General features: G+C 37.2%; 1 protein-coding gene across 57 annotated transcripts in view; it reads right to left on the minus strand.

Moving 5' to 3' along the window:
- Nucleotides 1-16,672, minus strand: part of INPP4B (inositol polyphosphate-4-phosphatase type II B) — an 823,376-nt gene that overhangs the window by 369,069 nt on the left and 437,635 nt on the right. For 36 of the 57 annotated variants that reach the window (NR_169617.1, NR_169615.1, XR_007057981.1 and 33 more), the window contains 2 exons: nucleotides 12,978-13,096; nucleotides 10,710-10,826 (listed from right to left, as the gene is read on the minus strand). Coding sequence is in view for 33 of the 57 variants with exons in the window: in NM_003866.3 (NP_003857.2) it covers nucleotides 10,710-10,826; nucleotides 12,978-13,096 (236 nt within the window). In the remaining 24 variants the exon portion in view is untranslated. Of the gene's footprint in view, nucleotides 1-5,283; nucleotides 5,446-10,709; nucleotides 10,906-12,977; nucleotides 13,219-13,541; nucleotides 13,632-16,672 lie in introns of those variants that run through there. The other 21 variants (NR_169623.1, NR_169616.1, NR_169618.1 and 18 more) reach the window with 4 other exon arrangements.

Here is a 16,672-nt window from a genome sequence, read left to right on the forward strand (position 1 = left end):
TCCCAGAAAAAGATGGGATCCTTGATGTGAACAGTTTTTCCCAAGATCATGGATAAAGACTTCTACTATCTTAAGACTCTTATCTTTGAATATTTTTTCCTTGTTTATGCCTCTATGAACAATAGAAATGAAAAGGGGGTCTGTTATGTGCACTTATGGCATATACTTTTATTTGTGAAGGATTTTGCAGCCAACCTTATACATGGATAACCTTATACTTTGATAAAGATGAAAGCCCAATATAGGTGAGAAACTTTAATGGTACATATGTTGCCTCATAATCAGTCAGAAACAGAACATTGGTTCACTCCTCTTAACCCACATCATGGGTTAAAAAGAACATTGCCAGGAGGCTTTCACTCTTCTAGAAGGGCATCATTTGTTAGGTCTATTTTCCATGGTTGGAGTAAAAGAGGCAATGATTAGAAATGTATCCCTCACGATAGGCTCTATAGCAGATTCTACTGTAAAGGCTATAGTTACACAACAGACTTTAAATTCTCCTGTCAAAGTTATGCTAAATAATAGAGTTGGCTAAACAGAAAAGTATCTGGGCAGCTGCTGACAATTATGACCTACGGAGAAAACATTGGGTATTATAGCAATTCAGTTGCAGGGAATTAACAAAAAGACCACTTAATTAAGCGAGCAGACTCTTTATCTACATCATTCTTTATTTGGTTTTAGGTGGTTTGGTTTATGCGGACCCTGGGTAAGGAGGATACTCCAAACTTAGTATTATCCTCTTGATAGTTGTAAAAATAATCTCCCTGGTGTGCTGTATTCTCTCAAATATTTTAAATGTTTATATGTACCCATCTCTAAAATGTCAAATGGTATCTTTTCAACTGGAATGACAAGAGCTGAAAGAAATGTAAGACCCTGAAGACATTTAACTTATGAATGACATGCCGAGGCTGAAAACCCCAAATGATGGTAACTGAGAGTGGTGCCAAGGCCCTGAGTTTTGCACACTCTCACCTAAGTGAAAACCTGACCAAAAAGGGGAAATTAAAAAAAAAAATTATGGGAGGCCATTGTTTTGGACTGAGTTCATGCACTAGGACCCAACAGACCAAACCAAACCAAAATGGAGTCACTTATGCTAAATATAACATAATCAAACTAAGACTTTAAGGAGACACGTAGATCCTAGAACAGACCAGGTTTGGTTTTTCTCCTGTAAACAGGATGTTTCAGCGTAAGGAGGTACCCTCTATTCAAGTCCTTGCTCCCACCTTTGCAAAACTCACTCACTGGTCTACTGTTTCCGATGGGTTTACACTGGTAATAGTGACATTAATGACTAAAGTTTTGGTCAATCTCTCAAAATTGAGAAAGTGACCAAAAAGGAGGAATTGTTAAAGCAAACTAAATACGGCCTGAGAAGAACTCTGTCCTATATTTGCGTCCTTGTGGATGAACTGCAACCACAAGATTGAAAACTTAGGAGTATGTGTCTGCAACAATAGCTGAGTCTTGGCCAATCCCAGCAGCCATACTTCAACCAATCATACACTGCTGAGTGTTCAAACTGTGGTCAAATAAGGCAAAGGCCGATCTGTAACCAATCCAGTTGTTCCTGTACCTCACTTCTGATTTCTGTATGCCACCTCCGTTTTCTTGTCTATAAACCTTTTTCCACCACGTGGCTGCACTGGAATCTCTGAATCTGCTGCGATTCTGGGGGCTGCCTGATTCTGAATCTTTCATTGCTCAATTAAACTCCTTTAAATTTAATTTGGCTGAAGTTTTTCCTTTAACAATACCCAGAAGTGGGATTTCTGGATCATATGGCAGTAGATAATATGGTTTTTGAGAAACCGCCATAGTGTTTTTCTCTGTAATGATTGTACCAATTTACATTCCCACCAACAGTGTTCAAAAGTTCACTTTTCTGTTTTGTGTGGTTTTTTTTGTTTGTTTGTTTGTTTTGAGACGGAGTCTCGCTCTGTCGCCCAGGGTAGAGTGCTGGGGCACAATCTCAGTTCACTGCAAGCTCCGCCTCCTGAGTTCATGCCATTCTCCTGCCTCAGTCTCCCAAGTAGCTGGGACTACAGGCTCCTGTCACCACGCCCGGCTGATTTTTTGGATTTTTAGTAGAGACAGGGTTTCACCGTGTTAGCCAGGATGGTCTCGATCTCCTGACCTCGTGATCTGCCCGCCTCAGCCTCCCAAAGTGCTGGGATTACAGGCTACAGCCACCGCACCTGGCCAAAGTTTCACTTTTCTTTATATCCTTGCTGACATTCTTAATTTTTGTCTTTTTGACAATAGCCATTCTAACAAGTGTGAGGTGATATCTCATTATGGTTTAAATTTGCATTTCCCTGATGATTTGTGATGATGAGCATTTTTTTAATATACCTGTTGGCCATTTGTATATTTTCTTTTGACGAATGTTTATGCAGGTCCTTTGCCAATTTTCTAAATGAGTTGTTTTCTCATTATTGAGTTGTTTGAGTTACATACATATTTTGGATATTATCCCCTTATCAGATGTATGATTTGCAAATACTTCCAATTCATGGGTTGTCTCTTCATGCTATTAATTGCTTCCTTTTATGTGTAGAAGCCTTTGATGCAATCTCATTTGTTTATTTTTGTTTTTGTTGCCTATTTTTTTGGGGTCACAGCCAAAATATCTTTGCTCAGATCAATGTGACAGAACTTTTCCCCCACATTTTCTTCTAGTTCCTTTTAGTTTCATGACCAAAGTTTATTTTTTAAGAAATTCATAATTAAACTTACTTCCGTTTCTACCATCAAAAAGTCAGTCTTTCTCCATGCAAACATCATTATTTCCTTGTGGAAAGTGTCAATGCTTATCCTTTCCTCTGTTGTGAGAGCCCAAAACAAAAAAGCAAACAAAGTTTTTGAAGAGATGATAGAGAACAACTACTGTGTGAGTGCAGATAATAGTAAAACAGAGAGGACAGGAACATGACAGAAAGGGAGAAACAATGTGAAGAGCATCAGCAGAGTGCAATGTACTTTGATATGTAAATTCCAGAGAAAAGGAAATGAAAGAGGCAGAAATGAAAATGCAAATGTATGGATAGTAGCATCAATGCTAAAAGAAATAACATCGATATGTAATAGTTCTGCTTCTGCTTAAAATATTAAAAGTTGCTAGAGACTGTTACCCGCATTCTAACACTGAGAAGTCAAGCGAACTATAAAAATAATAGTTTTTGTTTAACTCATCAGGAAACCAAGTTTAATAAACCAAAATAAAACAAAATCCGAGAGTTGACAGACTTTTCCCAGACCTTTCTTCAAAAAATTAAAAATAGAACTACCATAGGATACAACAATCTCACTTTTGGGTATTTATCCAAAATAACAGAGCAGGATTTCTAAGAGATATTAGCACTGCAACATTCATTGCAGCACTATTCACAATGGCCAAGATGTGGAGACAACCTAAACGTTCATCAGTATATGAGTGGATAAAGAAAATGTGGCATATAAAATGGAATATTATTTAGCCTTAAAAAATAGGAAATCCCATAATATGTGCCTGGATGAAACTTGAAGATATTATGCTGAGTGAAATGAGCTAGTCACAGAAGGATGCATACATTATTCCAATTATAGGAGGAAGTATCTAAAATTGTCAAACTCATAGAATCAGAGAGTAAAATTGTGATTGCTAGGAGCTGGGGAAAGGGAAAAATGAGGAGTTGCTAATTAATTAGTATAAAGTCCCAATTATGCAAGAAGAATAAGTTCTGGAGAGCTGCTATACAACATTATCCCTATAGTTAAAAATACTGTACTGTATATTTAAGATTTTTTAAGAGGTTAAATCTCATGTTAAGTGTTCTTACTACAGTATTTTTAAAAAGAGGGATTAACCATGAATGCAAAAAAAATTGATAAACTGGACTTAATCAGAATTAAAAAATTTTGTCAACAAAATGTATTATTAAGGAAATTATTAGGCTAAGCCAAAGACTAATAAACCCTCTAACACTTATATACAACAAAAGCACTTGTATCCACAATGTATGAAGAACTCTGAGAACTCAAGAAGAAAAAGAACCCTTTTTTTAATAAATAGGCAAAAGACTTAGATACTTCATTTTTTCCAAAAAGAGTCAGATGAATGGCCAGTAAGCACAGGAAAACGTGCTCAACATAATTAGTCATCAGGAAAATGCCAATTAAAACCACAATGAGATACCACTTCATACCCACTAAAATAGCTAAGTGGAAAAGTTTGGCAATATCATGTGTTGGAGGAGAAACTGGAACTCAAATTACTAGGAGTAGGAGTAAAAAGTCATGTAATCAATATGGAAAATAATTTGACAGTTTCTAGGAAACTTAAACATGAATCTGTCCTATACTCTAGAAATTATACTCCTCAGTATTTACCCAGAAGAATAAAAGCACATTTTCATACCAATATTTGTCAACATATGTTCATAGATGTTTTATTCATCATTGTCAAAAACCGGAAGCAACATAAATGTCCATCAATAAGAAAGTAAATGAACAAATTGTGATATATCACTACAACAGACTGCAATAAAAAGGAATGGGCTAATGATTCATGCAGGAAATTAATTAATCTAAAAACACGTTGAAGAAAAGATACTAGATGTAACAGTGCAAAACTATAAGATTTCATTCATATAAATTTCAACAGCAAACAAAACAGATCTGTAGGAAAGTGTTTGCCTCAGGTTGTATGGGGTGGTAATTGGCTGGAGAAAGAAGGGAACTTTCTAGAAAAATGGAAATGGTCTATATCTTGCCTTATGAAAGTGACATGGGCATACGCAATTGTCAAACTCATGGAACAGAACAGTTAAGATTTGACCAGTTTGTTACATATAAATTATATCTCAATTTAAAAATTATGTCCTTTGTAAATAAATCCTACTTATCAACAAGGAAAGTGAACTTAATTATAAAGGGTAGCAACATTTTAGAAGCCTCAGCTCCCTCTACAAGACATCTGTAACTCCCTTTGCAAACTATGTCACAATGAAGACAGAAGCATTTCAAAAGGCAGAGGCTGAATGAATGAGCAGGTTGAGGGAACCACGTAGTACACATTTTAAAAAAGGAAAAAACAAGGCCTATGGAACAAAAGCAAAAGTTTGAGACATAAACTCAGGTATTTCACAACCGGTAATAACAGCTATTTTTTTTCCATGAATAATTGACCACTTCATTATAAAATTTATTTGGACAGTTTCAATTAGTTATATATGCTTAAGTGCCTAAAAATTTTGGATATAGGTTTTTCTCCTCTGGTTGAATACTGACCTTGTTTTAGTAATTGATCAACTTGTAAGCTTCAAAAGAAACATGCGGCCGGGTGTGATGACTCGTGCCTGTAATCCCAGCACTTTGGGAGGCCGAAGCGGACGGATCACGAGGTCAGGAGATGAGACCATCCTGGCCAACACGGTGAAACCCCCGTCTCTACTAAAATACAAAAAAATTAGCCGGGCATGATGGCGGGCGCCTGTAGTCCCAGTTACTCGGGAGGCTGAGGCAGGGGAATCACTTGAACCTGGGAGGTGGAGGTTGCAGTAAGCCAACATTGAGCCACTGCATTCCAGCCTGGTGACAGAGCGAGGCTCCGTCTCAAAAAAAATAAAAAATAAAAAATAAAAAAAGTGCTTTGAAACTATCAATTGAAATAAAAGTGCCATACTACTGTGGGGAAATAAAAGTGAGAGAAATCCTATGGACAATATATGTACCATAACATAGCCTAGAAAAAAATAAAGGATTTCAGACTCGGCCTCCTTAGATTCTTAGAATACCAATTTTTTCATCTTTAAAATGGGCATTATACTTTCCTCAAAGGAGTTTTATGGAGATTAAAAAAAACATATAACAGCCTGGGCGCGGTGGCTCACGCCTGTAATCCCAGCACTTGGGGAGGCCGAGGCCGGCGGATCACGAGGTCAGGAGATCAAGACCATCCTGGCTAACACGGTGAAACCCCGTCTCTACTAAAGATACAAAAAAATATTAGCCAGGCGTGGTGGCGGGCGCCTGTAGTCCCAGCTACTCGGGAGGCTGAGGCAGGAGAATGGCGTAAACCCGGGAGGCGGAGCTTGCAGTGAGCCGAGATCGTGGCACTGCACTCCAGCCTGGGTAACAGAGCCAGACTCTGTCTAAAAAAAAAAAAAAAAAAAAAAAAAATATATATATATATATATATATATATATATATATATATATATATAAAACATATTAAACATAGTGCTTGGCATATACTTGTAAACAATCTCAATTTATTTTTCCTTACCCACTGTACCATATCTTATGGATGAAGAAGAAAGCCAACTATCAGAATTTGTATCTCAACAGGTATAGTTAGACTTAAGCTTCTTAAGAAGCCAATTTAGAAAATCAAGTGAAATAAAAATAAATTAAATGCAAAACATTATCTTACACAGAAAAACATAAAAAATGAACTGGATACTACTGTCTAGGGAACTGCTCTAGAACTAAACTGCCCTGGGCATATAACACAACACACATTAGGTAACATGCACATCCAATCTTGATAACTTTTTCTGAAAGTTTCAAATACAGGGTTGCTAGTAACTGGCAGTAAAAAAATGTCTTAGGACTACATCCTTCCCTGAGAAACGCTCGGTGTCTACTGGATACCAGTTTCTGTCCTATAAGCAAAGAATTTAACAAGCTGATGGTACCACAAACATTTATTACTTTCAGAGCAAAAAGAGGGGTGTCAATGTATACTTCTGCAAAATAGAGTAGAAATTCAAATTTCTACCATGGGCAAAAATAAAAATAATTTTGTGACCTAATATATGTTTGCAGATTTGATGGCTGTCCTCAGAGGGTGTTGGAAGAGGCTTACTCATCAATATCTTCCACAGCACCATGTTGCATGGGATGAATGGGAAAAAGAGACAAAGTTTTATGGTGATGTTCTTTTCCTTTCTAAATTTCCTTTTGCTTTTTTTTTTTTTTTTTTTTTTTTTTGAGTCGGAGTCTCGCTCTGTCACCAGGCTGGAGTGCAGTGATGTAATCTTGGCTCACTGCAACCTCTGCCTCCCAAGTTCAAGATATTCTCCTGCCTCAGCCTCCTGACTAGCTGGGATTACAGGCGTGTGCCACCACGCCCAGCTAATTTTTGTATTTTTAGTAGAGATGGGGTTTCACCATGTTGGCTAGGATGGTCTCAATCTCTTGACCTCATGATCCACCCACCTCAGCCTCCCAAAGTGCTGGGATTACAGAGCCACTGTGCCCAGCCAATTTCCTCTTGCTTTTAAGTTTCTGCTGTAACATATGAAAGACTCAGAATCCCACAGCTTGACTCTTTAGGGCTAAACATTGTAAATGATGTCCTGAAAATACTTTTGTCTAAGTTTCAGTTTCCAGCAGTTTTAAAATAAAGCCTAAAATTAGTATACATCCAGAAGATATCAACTTTACTATACGAACTAGGGTTCTCATAGCCTAGCCATGGGCTTCAATTTCAGGCTTTAAAATTGCCATCAGACAGTGGAATGTTATGGCAGCTCATCCTGAGGAAATAATTTCCTTATAGTGAGGAAAATAATCAAAAGATCACTCTAATACTAATACATAAAGACCCTTCACTCCATATGCCCCACCCCTCCCCCACCTGCTAAGCATTCTGTATCCGTCTGCCAACTTATGGCAGTGAATGGGAAGGATGAAGGATGTAGTAGAAGGAAACAATAGTTATGCTGAATCAACAGTTAGACTCTTCTCATTTGTTATGATGATTAATTGCATTTCTGCTGAAGTTACTAAGATAATCAATCCTAGATCCAGTTTTTTAGAGGAGCACAAGAACAACTAGTTAGTGAGGTAACATCTGCATCAAGAGCACAGAGAAAAGGCCATCATTTCTCTTTAAAAACATCTAGTACAAATATGTATGCAAATGATATGAAATGGCAAAGTAACGTGTTTATTTCACCGGTTATCTCCAAGTAATAAGCTCAATAGGAAAACACAAGCAATTTAGTCATCTGACTCAACTAATTAGTATTCAACCAATATAGAAGATCTGATCGTCCTGAATCAGTCTAGTATGATCAATGGTTTGCTAGGACCAAATATTTAAACTATCTTAAAACACATGCACACAATTTATTAACCTTCCAAAACATACAAATATTCACCATCTCATCTCTTATGCCTTTAGAATATTATGATCTTAATATATTTAGGTTAAGTGCTTATAATTATAAGCTGTACTTTAAGCCACTTGCTGCCTTCCTCCATCATTCACTTTAAAGAAAAACTTAAGAAATGAAAGAAAGGGGCAAAGATAAAGACCACATGTCCATAGGAACTATTAGCATATTAATCTACTGTGTTTCTATGTACACTTCCATCACCAAAGCTATGTTAAGGAAGAGGTTATGCCTTAATCAACAGTGCTTGATAAATGCAATCTGGGTGTATTTCTTAAGTATGTTCAAATTTCACAAGTCTTACTTCACAGTAGGGGTTCCAGTTCATTCCATACTTTTACGCCATAACACCTCTGATCAAGGAAGAAAGTCTTTAAAAGACCCCAAATAATTAGTTTCCAGAACTAAAGTCAACAAAAAGCATAATTAATGAGTACATTAGTTGTCTATCTCCAAAGCATTAACATTCATGCACATTTTAAATGAAGGAGATTGAAGGAGATAGAAACACATTTGGCATGTAATATTTCTAACTCTGATACTTCTAAATACTTCACAAACCCAAGAATTTAGGGGCAACATTTTCACTTCTGTAGCACAGTGTTCCTATAACTCAGCCCTTTCCATGCCCCACCCTATGTCTTCGGACTGTTGGAGAATTAAATTTAATCAGCGGCTTTGCAGAACGTAAAATCCTATAGTTTCTCCTCTGCTTTTCCTTTTGTCCTGATCATTTCTCTGCACAGTTGCATCACCCACTCCCACCTTCCACTTGAACTATATCTCCCTCCTCCCCAACTTTATGATTCTTTCACCTTTTCCTCCACTTCTCTCTCTCCTCTGGCAAAAGGTTGAAAACAAAAACAGCAACAAAAAACCGTGGGTGAGAGCTCTGGGCATAATTTATCAAAGCTGGTCTAAATATCCCAGCTGCAGTCTACTCCTTTTTCACATTACCTCAAAAACCAAAGAAGTTGGAAAGGAAAAGACAAAACTCCCAGGCAAATATTTTTCAGTTGCCAGTTTTAACCCAAATTTTTACCTTTTTTGTTCAAAGAAGTAATAAACAGCAAATGTAGGGTCACTTGAGAAAAAACAAAATTAGTAAATATAGAAAATTATTTTGGTTAATACTCCCTTAATTGATTTTTACTATTTATAAGAAAGCATGAGGCAGCTGCCAAAACAATAACAGCAATAATAGCAGTAACTTACCCTTATTAATTACTCTGTAACAGTCAGTAACACTTTACGTATATTAATTAATTTAATCCTTACAACAATCCCATTAGGTAAATATTTTAAAAGATGAAACAAGGGAACCAAGAATTTCCTCTCCCAAAGCCAGTATATGGAACGGAATCAGAAAATATGGCTCAGAATCTGCCTTCTTAAGAATTGTACCAGATAGCCACAACTGTTTTGTTTCCATGTACATATGCTGTGCATTTACTTGAGTCTTTGTTCTGCAATTTTAAAGAAATGAACTTTTCTGGGGCTAAGATGCATAGAAATCCCTTCAATATAGAATATTTTTTTCCATTAAATGTTCCCACTATTAGACTAAGTTTTGTGGTAAAGAATGGAAAGAAGAGAAAGTCATGAGCAAAACAGAAATGCCGAAGTGAGGGCAGAGTTCAAAGTGACATTTTCCCTATACAAGGCACTGTGGGATTCCCCAGGTCCAGCAGCATCCCTTAGCTTCAACCAGAACTCTCCTGGAACCCACTGGTCCACCTGCCATTAAAGAGTTTACTGCCTCATGCTACAATATTGACCTTCAAGTCTCTCATAGCTCCCTGCCTTGAAGACACATACAAATTCATGCTAATGGAAGAAATTTAAAGGAGAGAACTGCCTTCCCCTTTTCATTACCTCCCCAATAGCATTTTCTCCTGTCCAAGAATTTTAAGAGTGTCCTCTATAGTGCCTAACCAGGAAGGATGATGCAATTGGAGGAATATGCAGACCAGTTAGGAAGATTGAAGAATTTAGGACAAAAGACCACTGGGATTTTGCCTGGCCTTCTTGAAAAGAGAGCAGTTAACGTTTCTTCCTACTGTTTCCAATTACCTTCTGTTTGCTTTGGTGCCAGTAACAACATCAAGAAAAATGTAGTCAGTTTCTCTCTATACGGTATGCAATACATTGTAAAAGTAGAGCACTTTGTCAATCCCCTATTTTAGAATAATTACACTATCAAGAAAGTTTTAAATATTGCCTAATTTCCATTTGCTTTCTACCCACAATATTACCACTCTGCTGAAAACAACAACAACAAAATGTAAACCAAAAGATCAAGTCAGCTCTCCTGAAAAAGAAAAATCTGTTCCAAAAACTTTTGCTCCTAACCAATTGCCAATTTGGCAACGAGACAAACATATTTGGGAAAAAAACAACAAACGATAAACATAAGACAATCATGAACACGGTGCAAATATCCTCTTTGAAAAATGTCAGTTACACAAAAAATCCAATCGTGTGGAAAAGCATAACTTTTTCCCAAAGAAAGAAAGAAGTACCAGTACTTACGGTGTCATGAGACTTATCCTTGACATCATAGACTGTTAGTTTTATTTTGGTCTCCTCATAGATGGGATACTCAGATGGGAATGTGACACCAGTCAAAAACAGTGGGTCCCTTGTTCCCTGTAACAGCACAAGCAGACAACTTTGATTCAATAAGGCAGCAACTGTAGTTGGCAGCACGCAAGTGACACATGAGAATGCAGAAAGTGTGCCTGAGTCTGTTTTTCAAGGAAATAGTTCTATTAGAAGAGATCTGAATTGTCAAATCCTGCTCTTGGGCAACAACATGGCCCAGGGCCTTAAGGAAGTGATACAACTGCTGATAGTAAATGAACCTGCATCATTGTCAGAGCTGCCTTGAAAAAGTTTATTTTTATTATCTACAGAACCCTTCTTTAGGGTTAGTTAATTTAAAATACACTTAATAAATATAACTTGTAATTTATGCAAATAATCTAAGATATTGACTCATCAAATTAAAATGAAGCTATTTTCTCCGAAAGAACCATGTGGTAATCTTATGCTTCCATTTATTTCCTTTCTGTAATGATTCAATTGAAAATCATGCTCTGATAGTGTCCATTTGTTTTTAGATGTTCAGCTATGATTTTTTTTTTCCTCAGAATCACTTGAAAACTAATGAAAGAAACTCTAAATATGATGGATTTGAGGCTATAAAATTACTAGCTCAGGATGCAGTGCACAGGATATTTCAATGCCTCAGAATTCATTTTTAGAGCTGACATCCAGCATTAAATTTTATACATATATATTGCCGAATATCATGGAGATGTTTGCTAGAGTTCTATAAACTAATTGTCTATGGAAATTTCTGGAAGCCCAAGTAATTCATTCATTTATTCTTTCATTCAACAAATACATTTTGCTTGGCACTGCATCAGACACTTTGGAACGGGCAGTGAATAAAACAACTAAAAATAGCAAAACATGTTCAAGTACAATATTTTAAAATGTGCCAAAATAAGACATTTCTTATAGTTAAGATGGTAAATTTTATAATATGTGTATTTTATCACAATAAAATGAAAATTAAGAAAAAATCAAAATTAAATGAGTGAATAAGTAAATTTTGGCAACATTTTTAAAATAACAGAATTTTTAACTTTTTTATATAAAATGAATAACTTACAATTTTGGTTAAGATGTTTTCATATGAATAAGATTATTTTTGTTAATTCAACTATAGCATTAACTATATATTATACCAACACTGGAACCTAAAGTTTCCAAAGGGCATATTCAGGGCTACATGCAGTATCTGGGTCATTCCCATTATAGAAATGACTCCCGTTCAGTCTGAATCATTTATTCCACCACCGCATCAAAGCAGGCGGTCAGCCCTGAGCTAGCCAGGTCTGGGGCAGGCTAGTTAGGTTCTTACAGAGAAACTCCTCATTCAAAACATATGCAGCTCACAAGTCTAAGAAAAACAAGCAAATCTTAAGAAGTGTAGATTATACTTTCTCCAGCCCCAGATGTTTAAATAAGTATCTCTCATTCATTAAGGTTGTGAAATGTGTGATCAGAACAAAATAATCCAAAGGGAAACACTTCCTCTTTTGAATCTGATCCAACACAATAACAAGTTTCCTCTTGACATTTTGAATGTTATATTAGTAATAATAAATGTAAATAGGAAACCTCCCATCTGATGAGTAATATTTATACTTTTTGCCTAAAAACATAGTTTGTCAAATTAATCATCTACTTTTCCCTGAAAAACATCGTAAGTTGAAAGACAGACAAACAACAGAGAATATAAAGTTTCCACAGACTAAAGAATACCGGGGGGAAAAAAAGCAAAAACCCTTAACATGTTTAAAATTTCTCTGGGTACTGTACAACTTTCTTTTTTTTCCTCAAAATAAATATTTATTTCAATTTAAAGTCTGTATGTTGTTTTTCTTTATTCTATGCTCTATATGAGAATTTAAAGTGGGAACTTTTTTTTCTATCTTTGGGAGAAAAATAAACTCTTTGTATGAAAAGAAAAAAAAAGACAAGTTATTTTGTCATTTGTTCGTTCTAGTAAATTACCAATGCATTGCTTAATAATCTCAGGTATGTGCTTCTTAATGACAGAGGATGGTAATGCAGCATTGCTACAGACTATGAACTAACTTATTTCAGCTGTTCATTCAAATCCAGAGATGGGGCGGGGGTGGGGGGGAGGGAGAGAGAGAGCAAGAGCGAGCGAGCCAGCAAGAGAGAGAGAGAGAGAGAGATTAATGTAGGCACACAGCATCTCACCTCCACAATTTCGGTGCTGGAGTATCTTGTCAGACTCTGCTCCACGGGGTGGATTACGGAGATCTGCACCAGTGTATTCAGTTTACGATCACGGACAGGAGCCACGAGATCCTTGCATGCTGGCAACGGCAGAGGAGACAGAAAGAAAAGAAACTAACACCATATCTCAGGGAAAACTTCTGCGCCGGGCTGAAAGTGAACTTAGCTACAGCACTGAAGGAAATCTCCTGGGGCTCAGGCTGGTTTTACAGAGGAAGTCCCTTGGAAGTACCTTACAGAAATAGGAAGTCACGTGCTGTGGAGCTGAATTGAGAGTTCATTTCCACTGACCACATTTGCAGTTCATGCAAGTCTTTACTGGTCTGAGATCCCAGCTCTAATGCGTGACTATGCACACATGGCTCAGAAACCTCAGTGACTTTAATTAGCCATTAAGCCCTGGGCTTTAAGTCACACTCCTTGAGGATGTGAAAGTTGATTTGGGCCATATCTGGGAAACTTTGGTGTTCCTTATTGACATGGGTTGGATTAGATCAAGTGTTTGAATTCATACTTGGTCCTTACCTATGTATTCACTAGAACTGGCCTCCCACAGTAATACACACCAACAGAAACAAGGAGAGCAGTTTCTCAACCACAACAGCACACAAGCAGGGGAAGAGGAAGCAGAGGTAGGATTTTTAAAGCCCTGGTCTGGAATTCAAGCTAAGCCTGGAGGAGATGGGTTAATTCTTGCCCAGGGGCCACAAAAGTTAAAAACTTTCCCTTGAGACACCAGGCTCATATTACAGACCCTCGCCACCATACCATATTTACTTGAATATTTTCTCCTCTCACATATCATTCCCCCAATTTGAGGAAGAAAAATCCAGAAAAATATTCCTTTTAAGCAAGTCTGAATCGACTTTCCTCTCTATCCCCGCCACCCTCGCCTCCCACCTTTGAAATAATAATTTTACTCCCTTCAGCTGAGTTGCTGAGATGTAAAGTGCCCTCACTAGAGGTGGTTCAAGTTAAATTCGGCTGGTGGCTTGCTGCAGGCTGGAGCTATGGATGGGGGAAGTAGCCCTGGGTCCTTGATTTCATGGTGAGGGCATGCAGGGTTCTATACCATCCCTACCCCACTTCTCAGACCATAACAGGAAGGGAGAGAAAGATGAGGTATTTAAGGTATGTTGTGGTCAGAGCTTGCAAGGTCCTTACCATTGGTAACAAAGGTAATATGGCTTAAATCTGAAACTTGAAAGCAAAGGAAAGTATAGATGCAATTATCACCTTTCAATTGTTTACAGATAATCTCTTTCAGAAGTACAAGGAGATAGAAAAAGCAGGAACTTCGGAATGAAACAGGCTTGGTTTTAGTCCAGTTCAAATAGCTAGGCAACACTGGGAAAATTATTTAACTGCTTAACTTCTTACCAGACTTTCAGATCCTGCTGCTTCTGTATGGCGTTTTGTCATATACTTTTTTTTCCTTATATAAACCACATGCCTCTAGTAACAGAAGAGAGCTTATGAAAGCATGTATGGAAAAAACATAATAGCTACAATGTATTTAACCCTTACTATTTTTGAGGCATTTTGCTAATTATCTCTCTATTCCTTAAAATGGTGCTTTGAATTATTTCAGTTTTACATAGAACTAGAACTAGAGGCTTGGAAACATGAAGTGCTCACATTTACATTACTAGAATTCTCTGGTAGCTTACATCCTACCCCACTGGCTTCATTTCTCTTCTTGGCATGCCGACCTGCCCTCCTGCACAATGGCACCTCTCTTTGGAAGACCCACCGCCACACCACGATTATTACTCAACCCAAGAGACTTAGAGTTTTAAAAAATACTGGTGCCAGGTTTCAATAATGTCAACGTATCACCGGAAGGAAAGAAAAAGCTAGATTTAGATTTTCACTGTTCTTTGGTGGTTATTTTGATCATTTCCTTTACTTGCAATATGAATGTGTTTAATTTTATTGCTCATAAAATTCAACTGTTGGTTTTCTGCTTACAGTAAACAGCTCTTTTTCCGTTTCCTGATATTGACATATATCTATCAGAATTTTAAAGCTGAGGCCACTGTGTTTCAAATACAGGCATCTTGCCCACTTTCTGCTTGTAGCCCCATCTTTTACCTTGTGAGCTCATGACACCTTTGCTCAAAATAAGTCACTTCTTTTCTGAGTTCTTATCAGACTTGATTGTGGGCTGTGGTTATTTCCCAGAAATGAGCAGCTGTTCTCCATTTTATCAGAGAGACTCTCACCCTCGTTCCCCATAAAAACAGAGAAAATTTCTATTACACTGAAATGTTCTGTCCAACCCAATTTGCACATTCCCTAATACTGATAAAAATAATGATGATGCTTTGTATTTTTATTATATTCCACATCTAAAAACAATACGGTTACATCTTGTCAGGAAAACAATAATAGTTACATCTTGGGCTGCACTTTTTTCTTCCTACAGCTCAGAGGATTTACTGTACCCTAAGTCTTATGCAGCATGATATCCTGGAGAGAACCCGAGATCAGGCAGAATTCCTAAGCTGTGCTCCCAGATTTCCTGCTTTCTAGTTCTGTGGCACTGAGTAAGTCACAAACTCTGACACTTAATTGCCTCATCTATCTACCTACCTCTCAGGGTGGAAGTGAGGAAATTGGGCCTTTTTATAAATGGACTTTTCTATGCAAAAAAAAAGTTTACTAATATCATACTAATATATATTAATATCAACATTTACCAATATCTGGTGTTTTATTATTGTGTAAAATTGTTTTTATTGACTCAGTCATACTCAGCTTTTTAAAAGCTGTTACCAGGTCCAATATTTCTTCATAAATACCAAATTAGTACATGAGTCATTGCATTTCATAAGGTGAAACCTATTCACATCATGGATCTGTACATACTGAATCAGTCCCACCAGACGGCTGATAAATAATGAGTGATTGGATTGTTTTGTGAAGATATTACTCATATGATCACTATAAAATCTAATCCGTATGAGAATTATTTAGCAGCCAATAAAGAATCCTGAAAAATCTGTTTTCAGGAAAAAAAAAAAGTGAATGGGTGAGGTGGCTTATGCCTGGAATCCCAGCAATTTGAGAGGCCGAGGCCAGGATGACCTGACATCAGGAATTCCAGACCAGCCTGGCCAACATGACGAAACCCCATCTCTATTAAAAATACAAAAATTAGCTGGGCGTGGTGGCACACTCCTGTAGTGCCAGCTACTTGGGAGGCTGAGGCACAAGAATTGCTTGAACCCCAGGGGCGGAGGTTGCAGTGAGCTGAGATCACACCACTGCACTCCAGCCTGGGTGACAGAATGAGACTCTGTCTCATAAATAAATAAAAAGTTATATCTGTCTTCCAGCTATACTTACCACTGCTCATTAACCAAATATAATTCTACTCTAGGAGTGGCCTGCATCTGTGGCCTTCATCAGCTCAGAAGACTAAAAGAAAGCAATGCTTTGGGATTTTGCTTCTGTTTCGTTTTGTTTATTTAAGAATTCTACCCACTTCAATCTAATGGTCAGTAACAAACAAATGCTACTGCAATCCTTCATTCATCAGTAGATTTTTAATTTCTGCCTTCTTAATGGCTTTGCTTAGTATTGAATTGTTTAAAAGTGTTCTTAGACCTCAGAAGAGTTTAAATATGCAGGATGTTGATAGATGGGGATTC

The sequence above is a fragment of the Homo sapiens genome, chromosome 4 (assembly GCF_000001405.40).
Source record: "Homo sapiens chromosome 4, GRCh38.p14 Primary Assembly".
NCBI lineage: Eukaryota > Metazoa > Chordata > Mammalia > Primates > Hominidae > Homo > Homo sapiens.